The 16,356-nt window shown below is 39.6% G+C and overlaps 1 protein-coding gene and 2 long non-coding RNA genes across 9 annotated transcripts in view, besides 3 other annotated features; 1 reads left to right on the top strand and 2 right to left on the bottom strand.

The window, feature by feature from the left end:
- The window catches only part of ATP2C1 (ATPase secretory pathway Ca2+ transporting 1), a 166,118-nt gene extending 163,247 nt beyond the window's left edge, over positions 1–2,871 (bottom strand). For all 7 annotated transcript variants that reach the window (NM_001378511.1, NM_001199180.2, XM_047447960.1 and 4 more), the window contains exon 1: positions 2,538–2,871. In NM_001378511.1, the coding sequence (NP_001365440.1) occupies positions 2,538–2,645 (108 nt within the window). In that variant the 5' untranslated portion in view covers positions 2,646–2,871. The remainder of the gene's footprint in view (positions 1–2,537) is intronic.
- LOC107986023 (uncharacterized) overlaps positions 1–16,356 on the top strand; it is a 142,619-nt gene that overhangs the window by 40,456 nt on the left and 85,807 nt on the right. Inside the window, exon 2 of the long non-coding RNA XR_001740492.2 lies at positions 4,467–4,618. This is a non-coding gene — a long non-coding RNA (uncharacterized LOC107986023). The remainder of the gene's footprint in view (positions 1–4,466; positions 4,619–16,356) is intronic.
- Positions 3,205–3,284: an enhancer, noted in NCBI's record as "active region_20524". NCBI's record gives its function as "activates an Ori minimal core promoter by ATAC-STARR-seq in GM12878 lymphoblastoid cells {active_cell/tissue: GM12878}" and the evidence as "EXISTENCE:reporter gene assay evidence [ECO:0000049][PMID:35858748]".
- Positions 6,796–8,631, bottom strand: LOC105374108 (uncharacterized). Its single transcript, XR_924486.3, has 3 exons — positions 8,528–8,631; positions 8,289–8,408; positions 6,796–6,881 (listed from the first exon to the last, which is right to left on the bottom strand). It is a non-coding gene; the product is annotated as an uncharacterized LOC105374108 (long non-coding RNA).
- Positions 13,112–13,875: an enhancer, noted in NCBI's record as "OCT4-NANOG-H3K4me1 hESC enhancer chr3:130558435-130559198 (GRCh37/hg19 assembly coordinates)". NCBI's record gives its function as "activates a minimal SCP1, AML or CMV promoter by ChIP-STARR-seq in primed H9 embryonic stem cells {active_cell/tissue: H9 hESC(primed)}" and the evidence as "EXISTENCE:reporter gene assay evidence [ECO:0000049][PMID:30033119]".
- Positions 13,876–14,641: an enhancer, noted in NCBI's record as "H3K4me1 hESC enhancer chr3:130557669-130558434 (GRCh37/hg19 assembly coordinates)". NCBI's record gives its function as "activates a minimal SCP1, AML or CMV promoter by ChIP-STARR-seq in naive H9 embryonic stem cells {active_cell/tissue: H9 hESC(naive)}" and the evidence as "EXISTENCE:reporter gene assay evidence [ECO:0000049][PMID:30033119]".

Below are 16,356 nucleotides of genomic sequence, written 5' to 3'. Positions count from 1 at the left end.
ACATGGTTGGTACTTAGCAGCGCTAAGTGAGGTGGGAGAAGATTTTAAGTGGCATGCAGACACTACATTCAATAACACTGAATCATTTTGGATTGAAAAACATTATCTACCTTTTAATTCCTTTCCATCCTCACCCAGGAAACTTTCTCAGTTGGCTCCTAGGATGCTCTAACCTTTCTCTTAAAAGCTAATCTTCCTTATTAACAAATGAGCAGGTTTCAGGCTTGGAGGTTTTACAGGCAATAGTATCTACCTAGAATTTAATACTGTTTTGCTTTTATTAATTATTTTTACTTACGGCTAATGACAATGGTTTTCCATTTACAGTCATGATATGAACTTTTTTTCTAAATAAACTCTAATAATGTGATTTAAGTACAAATACAGAAAAATATTGAGGAATTAATCATACAGATGTGGTAAACAGTAAAAATTATGACAGTGCTATGTGAATATAGGAAATTTTAGAAATCTCTCAAGGAGAAAAGTTAGCAGGGTGATATTTTGCTATTACTAGATTGTTCAGGGATCAAGCGTGGTAAAATGAATAAAATTTAAAGCCATGAGATAGAAATTCACATCTTCCTCTGGTACTTTCTAGCTGCATGGGCAAGGGCTCTTAAGGGCTCTAAGTCTCAATCCCTTCACTTTTATATCAAGGATTAGTTATACAAGAATGTAAGGATTAGAGGCAACAAATATGCAGGTCATAAGATTGTAGACATTATTAACCTCCTTTATAACTTCCCAACAAGCTTTCAAGGTTAGTTATGATGAACTCTGACCTAATTTCTCTAATTCTGTGAGACATTAGGTCTGCAGAGCTGTAGTTGGCTTTAAAAAGAAATCAAATATATTATTTCTCTTAATTATTCAATTCACTTATATAAGAATTTAAGAACTCAGCATAATACTCACTCCCAGCTGTTCCTAGGTTGTCCCAAATGGTTGTACACTGGGGAAGGGACTACCCACCCTGTCCAAGTCAGAGGTTTTATGTTAAATTCTAATGGTCTTCTGAATGCATTTTGTAATACTTCTTCAATAAACTAAAAACAAAGAACCATAGAACTACACAAGCAATATAGCCACATCTCTGAAAACTTACAATACTGAGAAAAAAAAAATCACTCAATTCACATTCCACAGTTGTGTTCCCATCCTTTCAGCCACCTCTCTTCCTTCCATAATAAATGAGGCCTGAAGAAGCCCGTGAACATTAAAAGATTGGCAAACAAAAACTTATACAGCCCTACCACTTGGTTCTCTAGCTTTCTACATCAAAAGCAAGTGCAGGCTGAAACTTGGAAACCAAAAGTTGGTCTTTTAATGGTGACACCTTGCCTAAGTAAGATAAACTGGACCAGCCTAGCTCCCTTAGTGAACAGAGTCTGTTTGAATTTCTGGCCCTTGTAAAATTATTAAAGCAGGGCATACAAGCAGTTTCCTCTCAAACAGTAGCAATGATTTTTATTTTCCAAATTATGCATTGCCTTTTTGGGAAACCTGTCATGAGAGGATTTTCTGTCTGCTAAACCTATCTTGCATTTCCTGGAAGTGTTTTATTAAGTGGGTCATCTCATATCACAAAGGAGAAAAAAATACAGGACACTGGTGATATCTCCTGCATAGTTTTGCAGTTCTAGTTACAAGCACAATGCACAAGCAATTTATGACTGCTGGGTCTTTGGTATGGCTATACATTTGTCCTTCACATTTGTATACCACCGCCACACTTCTTCCTAAATGAATCACTAGATTTAAATGGATCAGATATTGCTACTTCTTCTAACAATTTGGTAAAATTCATAAAAATCATTTTTAGAAATGTCTTTTTTGGAGATCAAAGAAATGGAATGATATAAATCTCACACCATAAAAATGACTGCATGATTTTAAATGAGATGTGATCAGACATTTTAACAGTTTTAAAAATGCTTATATTCCCAAGTGATAGTGTCTCCTGCTGGAAATCATAGCTTTTGATTGGCTAAAAAGACTGAATATGGCAGTGCTCTACCTCCTACCTTTTACACACACAAAAATGACCAACTGCTTCTGAATGATCTTTATAGCTTGTTAATGATCTGTTTAAGGTTATTATAGTTTATAAAATGTTTTTTGTTTTGCAAATTCTGGCTATGTAAACATAACCATAAATACAAGAAGACAAGTGTACTTCTAGGGTCTGATACTTTCTTTGTTGAGATATTAATAGTGTCAAATTTTGTATCTGAGGCATTGGAAAATGATCAAAGAATTCAAAATTTAACTTTGATAGAGTAGCTCTTTAGAAGAAAGAAAGCATGTGGCTTCATTACAGAACTCCGCTTAATCTCAGGATCTGAATGTTCCAAGTTTAAATAAATTCTCACAAGCCTGCTTGCTTTCTGATTGCCAAGTCTGAACAGCCACAAGCAGGATCTGACCTGTACCTATAAACATGTAAACCAGCACAAATGAAATCACTAAGCGACGTAAAAGCAACAAGGAACAAGCACCCGTTCATTTTAAAGATAATATAAACAAAATGATACCTGTTCTTCGGCTCTTTGGTTTCTCAGCGTCGATAAATATCTCCTAATTGCATGGAGAGGATATTTTTTGAAATAAGAGAATCTAGATGGAGGCAACAGACTATCCATAGTGAGGAAAGCAAGAGGGTCCTTGTCTGCACCTCCTTGTCAGCAACCATATGAAATTAGAAACTTAGCAATTCCTCAGATGCCTAAAGATTTGTTTGTAGCTCGACAACTTCCCTCCTACAAACAAAGCAAATGTTCTCCTTGCTGTTTCCTCTTTTGGGTAGAGTTCCTGGTGAAACCAGACAGCCAAGTATGAACACTGTCTAGAAGCGTCCAGAAATGCAATGCCCAAAGGGCAATAGGAATTCAGGGGCTGGTCCACAGAATGCAAATTGCTTAGTGGTAGTGATGCGACTGTCCTATTTCTAGCAACAGTGTTCTGTTGCAAGCTATGTTAATATTAGCTAGCTGGTGACTTTCCATACCCACAGACTCTCGTGAGGCTTAATTTTAATTCTTCTGACACTTTTTCTAGTTCTTAAACAGGGCATGAGATGTGGTTTTCCCAGTTTCCTTCTAGATTTCTTATCATCATGCGCACACACAGACACACAGCTCAGTTGCGGTCTGAGCTGGAAAGTGTTGATTCATTCAGTCTTGAGAAGACTGTTATAGGGGACTTCCAAAAAAATTTAACAAATTACCTCACTCTTCATTGTTATCAAGGAGCTCGTTGTCAGCACTGAAAACGTTTGGCTTGCACTGTGATGCATTATGCAACATGCCCAGTAACCAGATACTTTACATTAATTGAACAATAGCTGCAAACAGATTCTGTTCTGAGTTAAAAGCCTTCTCTCCTTGAATCCTTATCTCAAATCCACAGGCTGAATTCAGAAACATTAACTTTCCCTAGGCTTTTAAAAACTATGAATGTAAGTGAGAGAAAATGTTTTATGTTTACTTTCTAACTCTTATTAAAAAAAAGATTCATGCTTAAAAAAAAAAGAACAAAAGAAAAATAATGCCAAGAGGTCTGTGGTCTTAGAGGACATGAAATCATAAAATTTGAAAGTTCAATATTTTCTTAATACTTTATAGAGATCACAGGGTTTTTCTAAACTAGGGCCCCAAATAGACATTACTATTTTATTATCCTTTTAAACTTTACAGTAGCTGGTTCCTTTGATGGAAACATTTGGTCACTTCTGTGAGGGGCTGTCATGTAGAAAACAGACTGGACATCAACAAAAATTATGTGACCCAGAGTTTTCTTTAAGGGTGAAAGCAAGCCCTGGTTTTTCCCTCTTCCTAGAGAGCACTGCAAGTTGCGGGGAAGAGGAGGTAGGCAGAGCTGGGGAAATTACATTGCAGCCTTAGTTGTCCCCCTGGACAGCCTCCCTGACACTCCTGGATGGGTCACCTGCCTTCAGGGAACACACTTGATGGCCTAAACCTGGTTGTGCTGCAAGCAGCCCAGGCCATCTGTCAGGTTGGCATTGGGCCCACTAGCAAGGTGATCTTCCAGACTCACCAGGACCAGCCTGGCAATTCCAAGAAGTCATTTACATATTGCTACTGGAGCTGGCTCCTAGGAGGAGGCCCTGCCCTTCTGTCACCTCTCCAGGTGCACCATGCTACATGCATACAGAGGCTCTGCACGTCCTTCTCTGTATGCTGGAGACAGCTGACTCTAATGAGGGCAAGAGAGAAGCAGTGTGCTTGTGAAACACCTGAATGCTAAGGGCACAGTGCTGCATGCTCCCTGCCAGTTCATGACCCAGAAAAACAAGAAGTATAGAAAGCCAGATACCCTGGGCCAACTTGAAGCCCTGGAAAGAGAGGCAGCCCTAGGGATTGTGGGGGCAGGGAAATGTGTCGTTCATACGAACCCTTGAGATCCACTAACTGCCCTTTTGCTTCTCTTTTTAAAAATATCAGAACCTTCAGAGATGCCTCTTTATTGTGGGCAGAAGCCAGCAGCCTGCTAAACACCCACAGCATGACTGGTGATCCAATCTTTTCCCAACAGACGAACACAAAGCAGACTTCATTTCCACAGTTGTTTCAGGATCACTTTTTCTGGGGCTGAGGTGAGTGATGAAAAGAAATGGGGAGGGAGAAATGCAGCATCCCCAAACAAAAACTGTTCTATTAGATTAAGCACAAAAAAGAAAAATGGGTGAAACAAATTCAATTAAAATTCCTTTAGGAATTTAATTGATAACGAATATAAATCGTATCTAATACTAATTGGGCCCTTTGGCCAGGTGATGTGCTAAAGTCTTTACATGTATTATCACATGTAATCCTACAGTAACATATGGGTAAACTAAAGCTCAGAGAAGGTAACAATTTGCTGAGGTCGCACAGCTGCAAAAACAGAGGCGAAGGGGATTCTAACCAGGTAAACCTGACTCCAGTATCTGTATCCAACCTGTATACTGCAGAACCACTTAACCCACTCCCAGAAATGAATTCTCAAGGACCTATTAACTTGAAGAAGGAAAGACATGGTGTTACCTTGTTAAAGAGGAATACAGGCCAGGCATGGTGGCTCACACTGGTAATCCCAGCATTTTGGGAGGCCAAGGCGGGCAGATCACTTGAGGTCAGGAGTTTGAGACCAGCCTGGCCAACATGGTGAAACCTCGTCTCTACTAAAAATACAAAAACTTAGCTGAGTGTGGTGGTGCGTGCCTGTAATCCCAGCTACTTGGGAGACTAAGGCAAGAGAATCACTTGAACCTGGGAGGCGGAGGCTGCAGTGAGCCCAGATCGTGCCACTGCACTCCATCCTGGGCAACAGAGCAAGACTCTGTCTCCAAAAAAAAAAAAGAGAGAGAAATACAAATACAGATGGCTAGGAATTTGCAGACTACGATTGGAGAGCAAGTACGTCTTCTCAAACAATCATACAACCTCCTGTCCTGAATTCTCTATAAATAATGTTCATATCATTACCTACCTCTTAAAGATTCCTTTATGAAATGATTCTGGTGATGCTAAAAAGAAGCTGTATTTGTAGATACAGATATTCTGCTTCCCAATTTTTGAAAACTACTACAATCTCAGTTTCTGTTTGACATAGGTTTCAATGGTCCGTCTATATTTAATAAAATATGAATGTGGGAATTTATGCACCCTGTTTCTCAGGTGGTAGGCATAGTCTCCTTAAGTTTACAGTATGGACATCTCTGCCATCACAGCTTGGAGAAGTGCCCTTTTTTTTTTTTTTTTTTTTTTAAGGCGTGCCATTTTTTATTGCCCCTGTGGCTCAGGTGCCTTGATGAAAGACAGCTGACCAGAGTCCTGGTGGCTACAATCTATATCTGCAAGGACTGAAGGGCCCAGTGTTTCTTCCACAAGTATATGAGGTATATTTTGCCCTCTGCAAAGTAGCACAATAAAGAGTGGAAGCAGGCCGGGCACGGTGGCTCACGCCTGTAATCCCAGCACTTTGGGAGGCCAAGGAAGGCAGATCATGAGGTCAGGAGTTCAAGACCAGCCTGGCCAAGATGGTGAAACCCTGTCTCTACTAAAAATAGTAAAATTAGCTGGGCGTGGTGGTGTGTGCCTGTAATCCCAGCTACTCAGGAGGCTGAGGTAGGAGAATCACTTGAACCTGGGAGGCAGAGGTTGCAGCGAGCCGAGATCACGCCATTGCACTCCAGCCTGGGTGACAGAGCAAGACTCTGTCTCAAAAAGAAAAAGAAAAAAAAAAAGAGTGGAAGCAGTTATCTGTTATTTTGCAGAACTCACTCCCACCCCTCGTCCTCGATAGAAAAATAACTAACAGAAACCATGAATCCAGGAAAGTCATAGGTTAAGGCTGTAATCCCACAATGAAAGGATATTTGTGTGTTCTCTGTGCTTTCTAATAATAATCTGCTTTTTTGCAAATGGCTTAAAGTATGGGGAATCCCAAATTCTTCACTTGAAAAGCAACATAATGAGGCAAAGCCAACACCAGGAAAAATAGTGGTAAGGGAGTGAGCAGAAAGATATTTTACAGTTTATTCTTTTTCAAATGTTAAAGAAGATAGGATGAAAATGTAGGTTTGTGAAGTCATCTAGCACTGTGCATTGCACACAGTAGGTGTTAAGTTAACATATACCAATGCATATTCATTGAAAGAGAATGACAAAGAAGAAAGAATTGGATCCAAGGGTTAAATACAGGTTGAGAAACATGAAACAAGAATTGAGAAACAGTGTCTCCAGGATACCTTTGAATTGATGAGATTTTCAAATTGCATCAGGACAAAAATGAAAAGCCCGCTAATCTCCTCCTTCCAATCAGTGCTAAGAGTTCCCATCAGGAAAATGACTCCATTCTCTGGGAATTAATCCAGCCTGGATACAGAGTGAAGGGCCGGCAGTTAGGATGATGGAGAAGCTGCTAGCTCAGAAAACAGAAATCATTTATTATTATGAATTCTACTGAGAAATCACTCTCATCCCACTAGATCTGTAGATACTGGTCCAGTCTTACACTCCCCTAAGGACAGCATCAAATACAATCAAGAGAGGAATGGGAGGCATTTAATATTGCTCATCAGGGCAAGTTTATGCAGCACCAGATTCCACCTTATTGCATGATTAAAGCACTTCTGCTACTTCACAGTACATTTTCTTAGTGCCCTCACCACATAGGGAATAATTATCCTACATCTGCAGATGGTGTATTTTTACTTTCCCAAAATTCACTTTCAAAAATCCCTCTATATTCCCATTACAACCATCATTCAGCAACTTTGATGTTTCTAATTGCTCTATAAACTGTGCAACTTTTATGCCTTTTGCTCTTCGGTTTCAAGTATTAATTTCTCAAATTTAACAATATTTCCACGCTCATGAGACACTTGTCCTCCACTGAAGAAAAAAAGACATTTTCTGCATAGTTTAGGCCAAACTTGAACATACATTTGAATCATCTGGAGGGCTTGTTAAAGCACAGGTGGCTGGGCCCCACCCTCAGACTTTCTAATTCTGTAGGTCTTGCGGGAGGAGCAGAGATTTTGCTTTTTTAACAACTTCTCCAGTGATGCTGATGCTGCTGGGAACCTCACTTTGAGAGCCACTGGTTTGGGAGCTATCAGGTAGGGACATGGCTGTAGAGGGATTTCCCAGGTGGAGTTTGAAAGATAGATGCCCTGTTTGCTAAAGCACTTTGAGAGCTTCCAGCAGGCCCACAATTTAAAACACACTTCCCCAGTAGGGGTGGTTTTCCTCAGGCCAATGCCCATCTCTTTTTTTGCAGCCACTTTCCCATAAGGAAATTCCTGCATATCAGTCTTCACATGGGCCTCTCATCAGGTGATATCTTGACTTGATATCTGACTGCTCCCACATTCTCTCTCACTCATTTTCTCTTGTCAAGGTACAGTGGTGCTATTAGTAGCCTTAGTTCAGGGAAATCAACTCTTGCTTTAGGCCCAGGACCAAAAAATAGAGCCAGCTCTACCCAATGCCCCCTCTTCTCCCTCTTCTGCCACTAGCTTCTCATCCTTTTCAAGTTGGGATGGAGGGATCCTAAACCTGAAACAGGGAACCCCCTTACCACCAAGAATCTCCCAAATCACATCCTTTCTCAAACCCATCGCCAAGTACAACCTGCTCATCTTTGTCTCCAACATGCCCATGGTTTGGGATGAATCCTCTAACTCTATCTTCTTTCATCCAGTCTTGAGAATTCCCACTCAGGATGGAATTGCAAATTATTCCTTTAACAGAAACATTCAAATCTCCCAGCAAACTTACTGTTTTTGATGGATTTGGGGCAGGTCTTTGAAGCTGTGTTGCCTTCTTCTCCCCATCAGTCATGATTTGCTCCTCTGGGAGGCCTAGCACCAACCCAGAAGAAGAGGAAAGAGGCTTTTCCTTTTAAGGAAAATGGGGTAATTTCAAATTGGTGGGCATGCTACTGATAATTCTATATGAAAACTAAAAATATGGTTTTACTATAATGCTTCTCAATCTTTCATGTGCATATGAATTACCTGGAAGGTCTGGGATGGAGCCCCAGATTCTGCATTTCTAACAAGTTCTAGGATGATGTTGATGTTCTGTTTCCGTGTACCTTACTTTAATTAGCAAGAGTCCAGTACCTGTTTTGGAATGCAAAATCAACACTCTCTCAGAGGCTTAGTTTAAACTCCAATTTTAATTGCGTGAGTTTCTTCCATTAATACTCATGACAGTTTGCTATTTTTAAATTCATTTGTTTACTCTTTTTTTTTTTTGGTCTCCTCTACTGGAACATAAGCTCCATGAGGGCAGGAATCTTGTTCATCTCAGTCACCATTTTGTCCCCAACACTTAGCACAGATGGTAACAATGTGGAAGCCAGGGAACAGAAGAACAAGTGGTAACTCACTTAACAAATGAGCTGAAGGTTAAGGCAACAGCAAGGAACACAGAGAAGAAACCCAATTTGCACTACAGAATTCCCCAAAGGCTCCAGAATTGGCAGACCAAGTAATTCTGGAAATGGGGGCAGAAACAAGGTGGTTGGTTGGCAATTGTTAAGAAGCATTTTGACCAGACCCCTTCTTACTCCATTAAGGAGAGGATAGAAATTTCTTTGCGGAAGATTGGCGTTTATTTTCACTCCTGTTCTCTTGGCTCTTTGAGTTTGTACCTTTAAAAAATAGCAATCCTTCTCCCTGTATGCAGCTGCCTTCTTTTTCATTCTTTAGGCCTCAGCTTAAATCATACCTGCTTGGAGGGGGTTTCCATACTTTTCTATCTAGAATAGGTTCCCCCTGATTTTTTTTTCTCACTAGGTAAGTTCTTTCTGTGTGTAAGTTCTTCACTGAACACAGGGAAGTCATGGGGTGATATTATAAAAAGAAATTATTTTCTACTCCTACTATCCCTTTATATATGACCTGTGTGTGTGTGTGTGTGTGTGTGTGTGTGTGTGTGTGTGTGCACCTTCCTCTGTATATGAGTAAATTTTGGAGCAGGCTGCATGACTTTTTTAGTTACTCAAAGGAACTAGAAAATCCTACAATAATTTCATCCTAAGCAAGTCTCAATTTGATATAGCCTAGTCGAAGAAAATATTTTCAACATGATTGACCTTCTCACTTCACTTTAGCTGAAACCTACTGAGCACTGACTACTTTCAGCAGAACAGAGAGGAGTGGTCTCACTCTCGCATTTCTCCTCCTCTCCTAGCTTGCTCACTGAGATTTCTGAAGCTGCCAGGGCAAAGGCAGGGGTTGGAAGGAGAGACACTGTGAATAGAAAGCTCTCACTTGGCTGGTGCTGTTGTAAGTTGGCCTCATTCTCTCTGGGCCTGACAGTTGTTTAGAGTGTTCTCTTTCCCTGGCAGGCTCTTCATTCATTGCAGCATTAGGCACCTGGCTCAAAGTTATCCTGTCAGCCACAGGGCTGCTACCACCCTTAATGCATGTCCAGTTTACCAGTGTTTGGTTCCTGGGTTTAACTGACTTGCTAAGAAAGATTTCCCTGACCCTGATGTTATAAAATATTTATCTTTCTTTTTTTTTTTTTAGACAGAATCTCCCTCTGTCACCCAGGCTGGAGTGCAGTGGTGCAATCTAAGCTCACTGCAACCTCTACCTCCTGGGTTCAAGCGATTCTCTCGCCTTAGCCTCCTGAGTAGCTGGGATTACTGTAGGTGTACACCACCACAACCTGGCTAATTTTTATATTTTTAGTAGAGACGGGGTTTCACCATGTTGGTCAGGCTGGTCTCGAACTCCTGACCTCAGGTGATCCATTCCCCCACCCCACACCTTGGCCTCCCAAAGTGCTGGGATTACAGGCGTGAGCCACCATGCCCAGCCTTTCTCCATGTTTTCTAATATGCTTTGTCTTTTACATTTAGATATTTAACACCATTTAAAATGTATTTTTGTATATGAAATGAAGTAGAGATCTATTCTACTTTCTTTTTTTTTTTTTTTTTTTTTTTTTGAGACAGAGTCTCGCTCTGTCACCCAGGCTGGAGTGCAGTGGCTTGATCTCGGCTCACTGCAAGCCCCACCTCCCGGGTTCATGCCATTCTCCTGCCTCAGCCTCCCAAGTAGCTGGGACTGTAGGCGCCTGCCACCACGCTTGGCTAGTATTTTTTTTTTTTTTTTTTTTTTGTATTTTTAGTAGAGACGGGATTTCACTGTGTTTGCCAGGATGGTCTTGATCTCCTGACCTCGTGATTCTCCCGCCTCGGCCTCCCAAAGTGCTGGGATTAGAGGTGTGAGCCACTACGCCAGCCCTATTCTACTTTCTTGCAAATGGATAGGTGATGTTCCTAGCCCCATATATTCATTCTCCACAGAATTATAATTCCACATTTATCATTTATTCATTTCTAGTATATACTGTGTATTAGTTTGCCAGGTCTGACATAACAAAGTGCTGCAGACTGAGTGGCTTAAACAATAGAAATTTTTTGTCTCATAAATCTGGAGGCTAGCAGCCTGAGATCAAGGTGTTGGCAGGATTGGTTTCTTCTGAGGCCTCTCTCTTTGGCTTCTAGATGACCATCTTCACCTTGTATATTCACATGGTCTTCCTATCTCCAAATAAAAACCCTATCTCCAAATAACATCACATTCTGAGGTACAGCAGTTTATGACCTCAACACATAAATTTAGGGAGGGAAACAATTCAGTCCATAACAACTTGAATCTATTTTCAGATGCTCTGCATGTCTATTCCTGTGTTATCATCACAGGTACAAACTTATAGATTACTTAGAAGACAATCTACTATTTAGAAATTAACTTTTCTTAATAGTTAATATGTTACATCGTTTGTAAAACTTTCCCCAATCTCTTCAACTCTCCTGCTAGAAACGAATGCCTCTCCCTGTATTTTATTTCAACCTCCATTATAATACTGTTCACTTTATAAAGAGGTATTCCAACTTCTGTATTCAAACAAGATTGCAAGCTCCCAGGGCTCAAGTAACTAAATTATTACTAAATATTATTAAATATTCATATTTGATATTATTAATAATCATTTGTTGATGCTTACTCTGTGTTGAACACTGTGTTTTGAGTTTTGCTTGGATCTGCATCCTGTGAAGTAGAAATAAGGCTTAAAGAAGTCAAGTTACTTGCCTGAGAGCACATAGCAAGTTAGTGACCCACTTAAGATTCCAACCATCTCTATTTTACTCCAAATCCTAAATTCTTAGCCATTATGCATCACTGCCTTGACAGCTGTTTTGTACCTGCTTCCTTCTCCCTGCAGAGTGCCTGCTGCACTGTAGGTATTTAATATATGTGCTTAGAACGTGAACTAAGCTGAAAAGCACACCAACCAACAAGTTTTTTTGATGTCATTCTTTCTATTTAAAAACTGTTGTGACTAATGAGCTATTTTAGGTCTGGATTACTGTGGCTGAAGTAACAGATATGTGATCAGGTCCTCCTCATCCCCATGACACATAGAGTGTATGCTTCCCAATACTGAGAGTCACCATTTCCTTCCTGTATATTCCTGGTCTTTAATATAACCTCAAACCAAATTCCATTATATTGTGTACTTGATGCTACCATTACTCAGCATGTTAAACGAATGCCATAGGCCAGGTGTGGTGGCTAGCACCTGTAATCCCAGCACTTTGGGAGGCCAAGGTGGGCAGATCACTTGAGGTCGGGAGTTCGTGACCAGCCTGGCCAACATGGTGAAACCCATCTCTACTAAAAATACAAAAATTAGCCAGGCATGGTGGCGCACTCCTGTAATCCCAGGAACTCGGGAGGCTGAGACAGGAGAATCGCTTGAATCCGGGAGGTGGATATTGAGGTGAGCTGAGATCTGAGATCACACCACTGCACTCCAGCCTGGGTGACAGAGCAAGACTCTGTCTCAAAAAAAAAAAAATAATAATAATAATAATAATAATCAATGCCATAAAAAGCTTTCATTTAAAGATCAAAATAAAATAATTTTATGAAAGATTAATTAGCAAATAGGTAGTCAATAAATGCTAATTATCCATGATCACTGAAGAATTTGTGCAGTGGTTGACCTATGAATAGTATAACAATGTGTTGATTGGATGAGTCAAGTTGTTTTAGGATGGAAATATGGACGGAAGGCTCCTAGTGGTGGTAGTAATAGCCCATTGTTAGGCTCATTAATTATGACTAAAACAATACCTGTTTATACCTAAATTGCTCTATCTTTCCTAAATGTGAGGAATCAACATCTTTATACAATTTTGAATAATATTATCTACTAAAAATTTATTTATATGATGCTTCATTTCCCTGGATGAAGGAGCCCTGTATTAATTGTGTAAAACATTTCATCAAAATGAATAAATTCTCCATTACTATCTATCTTCAGCGTTAAAATGTATCCTTATTCTACTTCACAGTTGCTTTATTTTAAATTATTTTAAGTTATTTCCTTAAGCTATTCCAAACAATCTCTTCCCTTCCTCAATATTAGTTTTCAAACACTTACATATTACTCTATCTCCCCAGAAGCCTTTGTTTATAGTTCTAACATTTTTATTGCTATAGAATTCCTTTTAGCTCTTTATGATTTCTCCTGCTCCAGGTCCTGTCTAGATCTGACATGTTATGATTCTGAGATGCTCCACAATGAAAACAATGTTTTAAACTCTGAGCTTGTCAAGCTCCAAAAGAATATAAGGTTGAAGAGGGGGATAGGGCAACAGAAGTGCTGTTATTGCCACTGTTCTGCAGAATTGGAAAAGTAGCTCAAAATGACAGCATGGGTTAAGTCCCCTTCATTCACGTGGCTACAAATGCATAAACAAGTCTGTTTCCAAGAGTGTTTCAAGGTTTTCTCCTTCCCAAGAATTTTTCCCCAAGTGTTTTTCATGACTTCCTACCAGGCATGTCACATATGAAAACTGACTGCCCCGCCCCCCACTTAACAGCAGGTGTCCAACTTTCAACTTCCATCTGCATTATTTCTTACACTTCTGTCCTTATTAGGAGTTACTTCCTTTGTTTTGCAAAGAGGCAGCCTTGTAACAGGTGTCTTTATTTGGCAGCTAACATTGCCAGAGCCACTTGAGTTTCTTCCAGTCTGTGGCTGGGCTTCTTGCAATTGATTGTGGCAGATGTAATGCGGAGACTACCATTCGAAATGTAAAATGGATCAGATTGGCTAGAACATCTGAATGAAGATTTCATTTTGCTAATTTTAAACATGCAAGTGCTAAAGAACACATTTTTAAAGAATTTTACAGGACACCAACTTTTCAGTGTGGTCCTAGCTTAGCTTCTCTCTTCTCAAATGCACAGTTCGCCTTGTTTGTGGAAAACAAGGGGTCACTTATGACAGAATTCATGCTCTACCTTTCCTTCTGAAAGCACAGCCAGCTCCATGTGACCATCAAGCTATACTTAAGACAACCATTCCTTGGAAGCATAATTCCTTATCAGAGCCAGAAAAAGACAGTGTCCCACTAAGAGGAGTATGCCAATTATTAAGTTATTGTTTCTCAACTCCAGACTCAAAATTCTGTTCTCTACTTAGCAACGCTGGGATTCTACACACTTTTTTTCTGCTTTGCCAGCTGTTCCCCATTAGCCTTTGCCAATGGAAAGAAACAGAAAGTGAAGGAATAAGAGGGGACTTATTCCTTTTTTAGTTTTGCTTCCTGTTCTTGACAATCACTCAAGCAACACTTTTTTCACCTCAGGGACTGGACTTCAGCAGCAGTAGTTCACTTTTTTAGGAGAAGCTGAATCCAGCTTGCAGTTTTTCTACCACTCCCAACCAGTCTTCTCTCCTCAAAGATCTGGGTTCCAGCCCCCAGGAGTCTCCTCCTCTCCTCTGAGTTCAGACACAGGAGTGCTAGCTGGCCAGTGCCTCCTTCCTCAGAGGTTTGGGTCTTAGACTTCCCCATTTTGCACTAGGAATACTTAGTAGGCCCAGATTTCTTGCATTTACATGCATAGAATTGAAATTCAGGCCATTTTATTTGGATATATTACAGGTAAAGATGTCATAAGAAGGCTTAAGGACTTGGGAACATTCCGTTTATGTGTTAATGACTCCCAAACCTGTATCTGAATACCAGATATCTTTCCCAATATAAGAATCTATATGTACCTCAAATTCAGCATGTACAAAATTAAATCATTATCTTCTCTCTTAGATCAATGAATTTTGATATTATTGGTCAGTTCCTAGCAAGTGCTATTTTTCACCTTCTCATACAGTCTTCAATTGCTGTCAGTTTTAATTCTTAAATGTTTCCTACATTCCATTGTTACTTCACAATCCCAGTTCAGGTTCACTAAACTTCTATGGTACTCCTTAAAACCCTCCTAACTTGTCTCTTTGCTTTCCAGCTGTTTCTAATGTAACCTAATATTTCTAGAGTGTGTGTGGTTCTAAAAAAGATATAAAAAGATAATACACATTTATAATTTCCGGAACACTGTTCCAGATCTGTCCAGTAACTCTGAAATACTCCAAATCATTTAAGATTTTGCTCTTCATTATTGGTTTTGAGCAGTTTGATTATGTGTCTTGGTGTCTTCTATGTTATGCTTCTTGTGCTTGTTTTCATTGAACAATACATTCATTTCTTGTTTATTAAAAACAATAAATCTGTGGGTTTATTGTTTTAATCAAGTAAAAAAAATTTTGGCCATTATTTACTCAAACATTTCTTCTGCTCCCTCTTTAGGAGTCCTCAATAACATGTGTCTTAGGCCACTTAAAGTTGTCCCACAGCTCATTAGTTTTTTTCTTTCTTTTTTTTTTTTTTTTTTTTTTTTTTTTTGAGATAGAGCCACTCTCTGTCACCCAGGCTGGAGTGCAGTGGCATGATCTCGGCTCACTGCAACCTCTGCCTTCCAGGTTCAAGTGATTCTCCTGCCTCAGCCTCCTGAGTAGCTGGGATTACAGATATGTACCACCACTCCCGGCTAGTTTTTGTATTTTTAACAGAGATGGGGGTTTTGCCGTGTTGGCCAGGCTGGTCTTGATCTCCTGACCTCAAGTGATCCAACTGCCTCAGCCTCCCAAAGTGCTGGGATTACAGGTGTGAGCCACCAAGCCCGGCAATTTCTGTATTCTTTTTCCCCATGTTTCACTTTGTATGCCTTCTATTGTTCATGTCTTCAATTCATGTACTATGTCTAATCTGCTATTAATTTTATCCAGTGTACTTTTCATCTCAGTCATTTTAGTTTTTACTCGAGTCTTTTCTTATATTTTCGTATTTCTATTTAACATTTTGAACATATGAAATACAGTTATAATAACTATTGTAATGTCCTCATCTTCTGATTCTAACATCTGTGTTGGTTCTGGGTTAGTTTCAATTGACTATTTTCCTCATTATGGGTCATATTTTTCTGCTTCTTTGTAATTTTTGTTTGAATGTCAGACATTATAAATTTTACCTTTTGAGTGTGGAATATTTTTGTGTTGTTATAAATATTCTTAAGTTTTATTCTGAAATGTTGGTTAAGTTACTTAGATATAGTTTGATCTTTTTGGGTATGACTTGTATGATTTGTTAGGTGTACACATCTATGATTTATGATTTCTTAGCTGTATTCAGTCAGAGCTAATTATTTCCTCTTAGTAAAATAAAACCTTCCTGAGTTTTCTACCCAATGCATCGGGAATTTTGAGTTTTTCCCCAACTGGCTTAAGAACAGGTACTATTCCTGACATCATGTTAACTAGGTACTGTTGTTCTCTACTTCTTTTGGATGTTTCTTCCCCAGCCTTAGGTAGTTTGCAGATCATATATACACAGACCACTACCCAGCTAAATGCTCAAGGGGACCTTGAGTATATTTCTAAGGTCTCTCTGGGGTCTATGCTCTGTCACAGAGCA

This window comes from Homo sapiens, chromosome 3 (assembly GCF_000001405.40).
Source record: "Homo sapiens chromosome 3, GRCh38.p14 Primary Assembly".
In the NCBI taxonomy this organism is placed as follows: domain Eukaryota; kingdom Metazoa; phylum Chordata; class Mammalia; order Primates; family Hominidae; genus Homo; species Homo sapiens.
The sequence above is the reverse complement of the archived record's forward strand: the minus strand, read 5'-3'. Positions and strand labels throughout refer to the sequence as shown.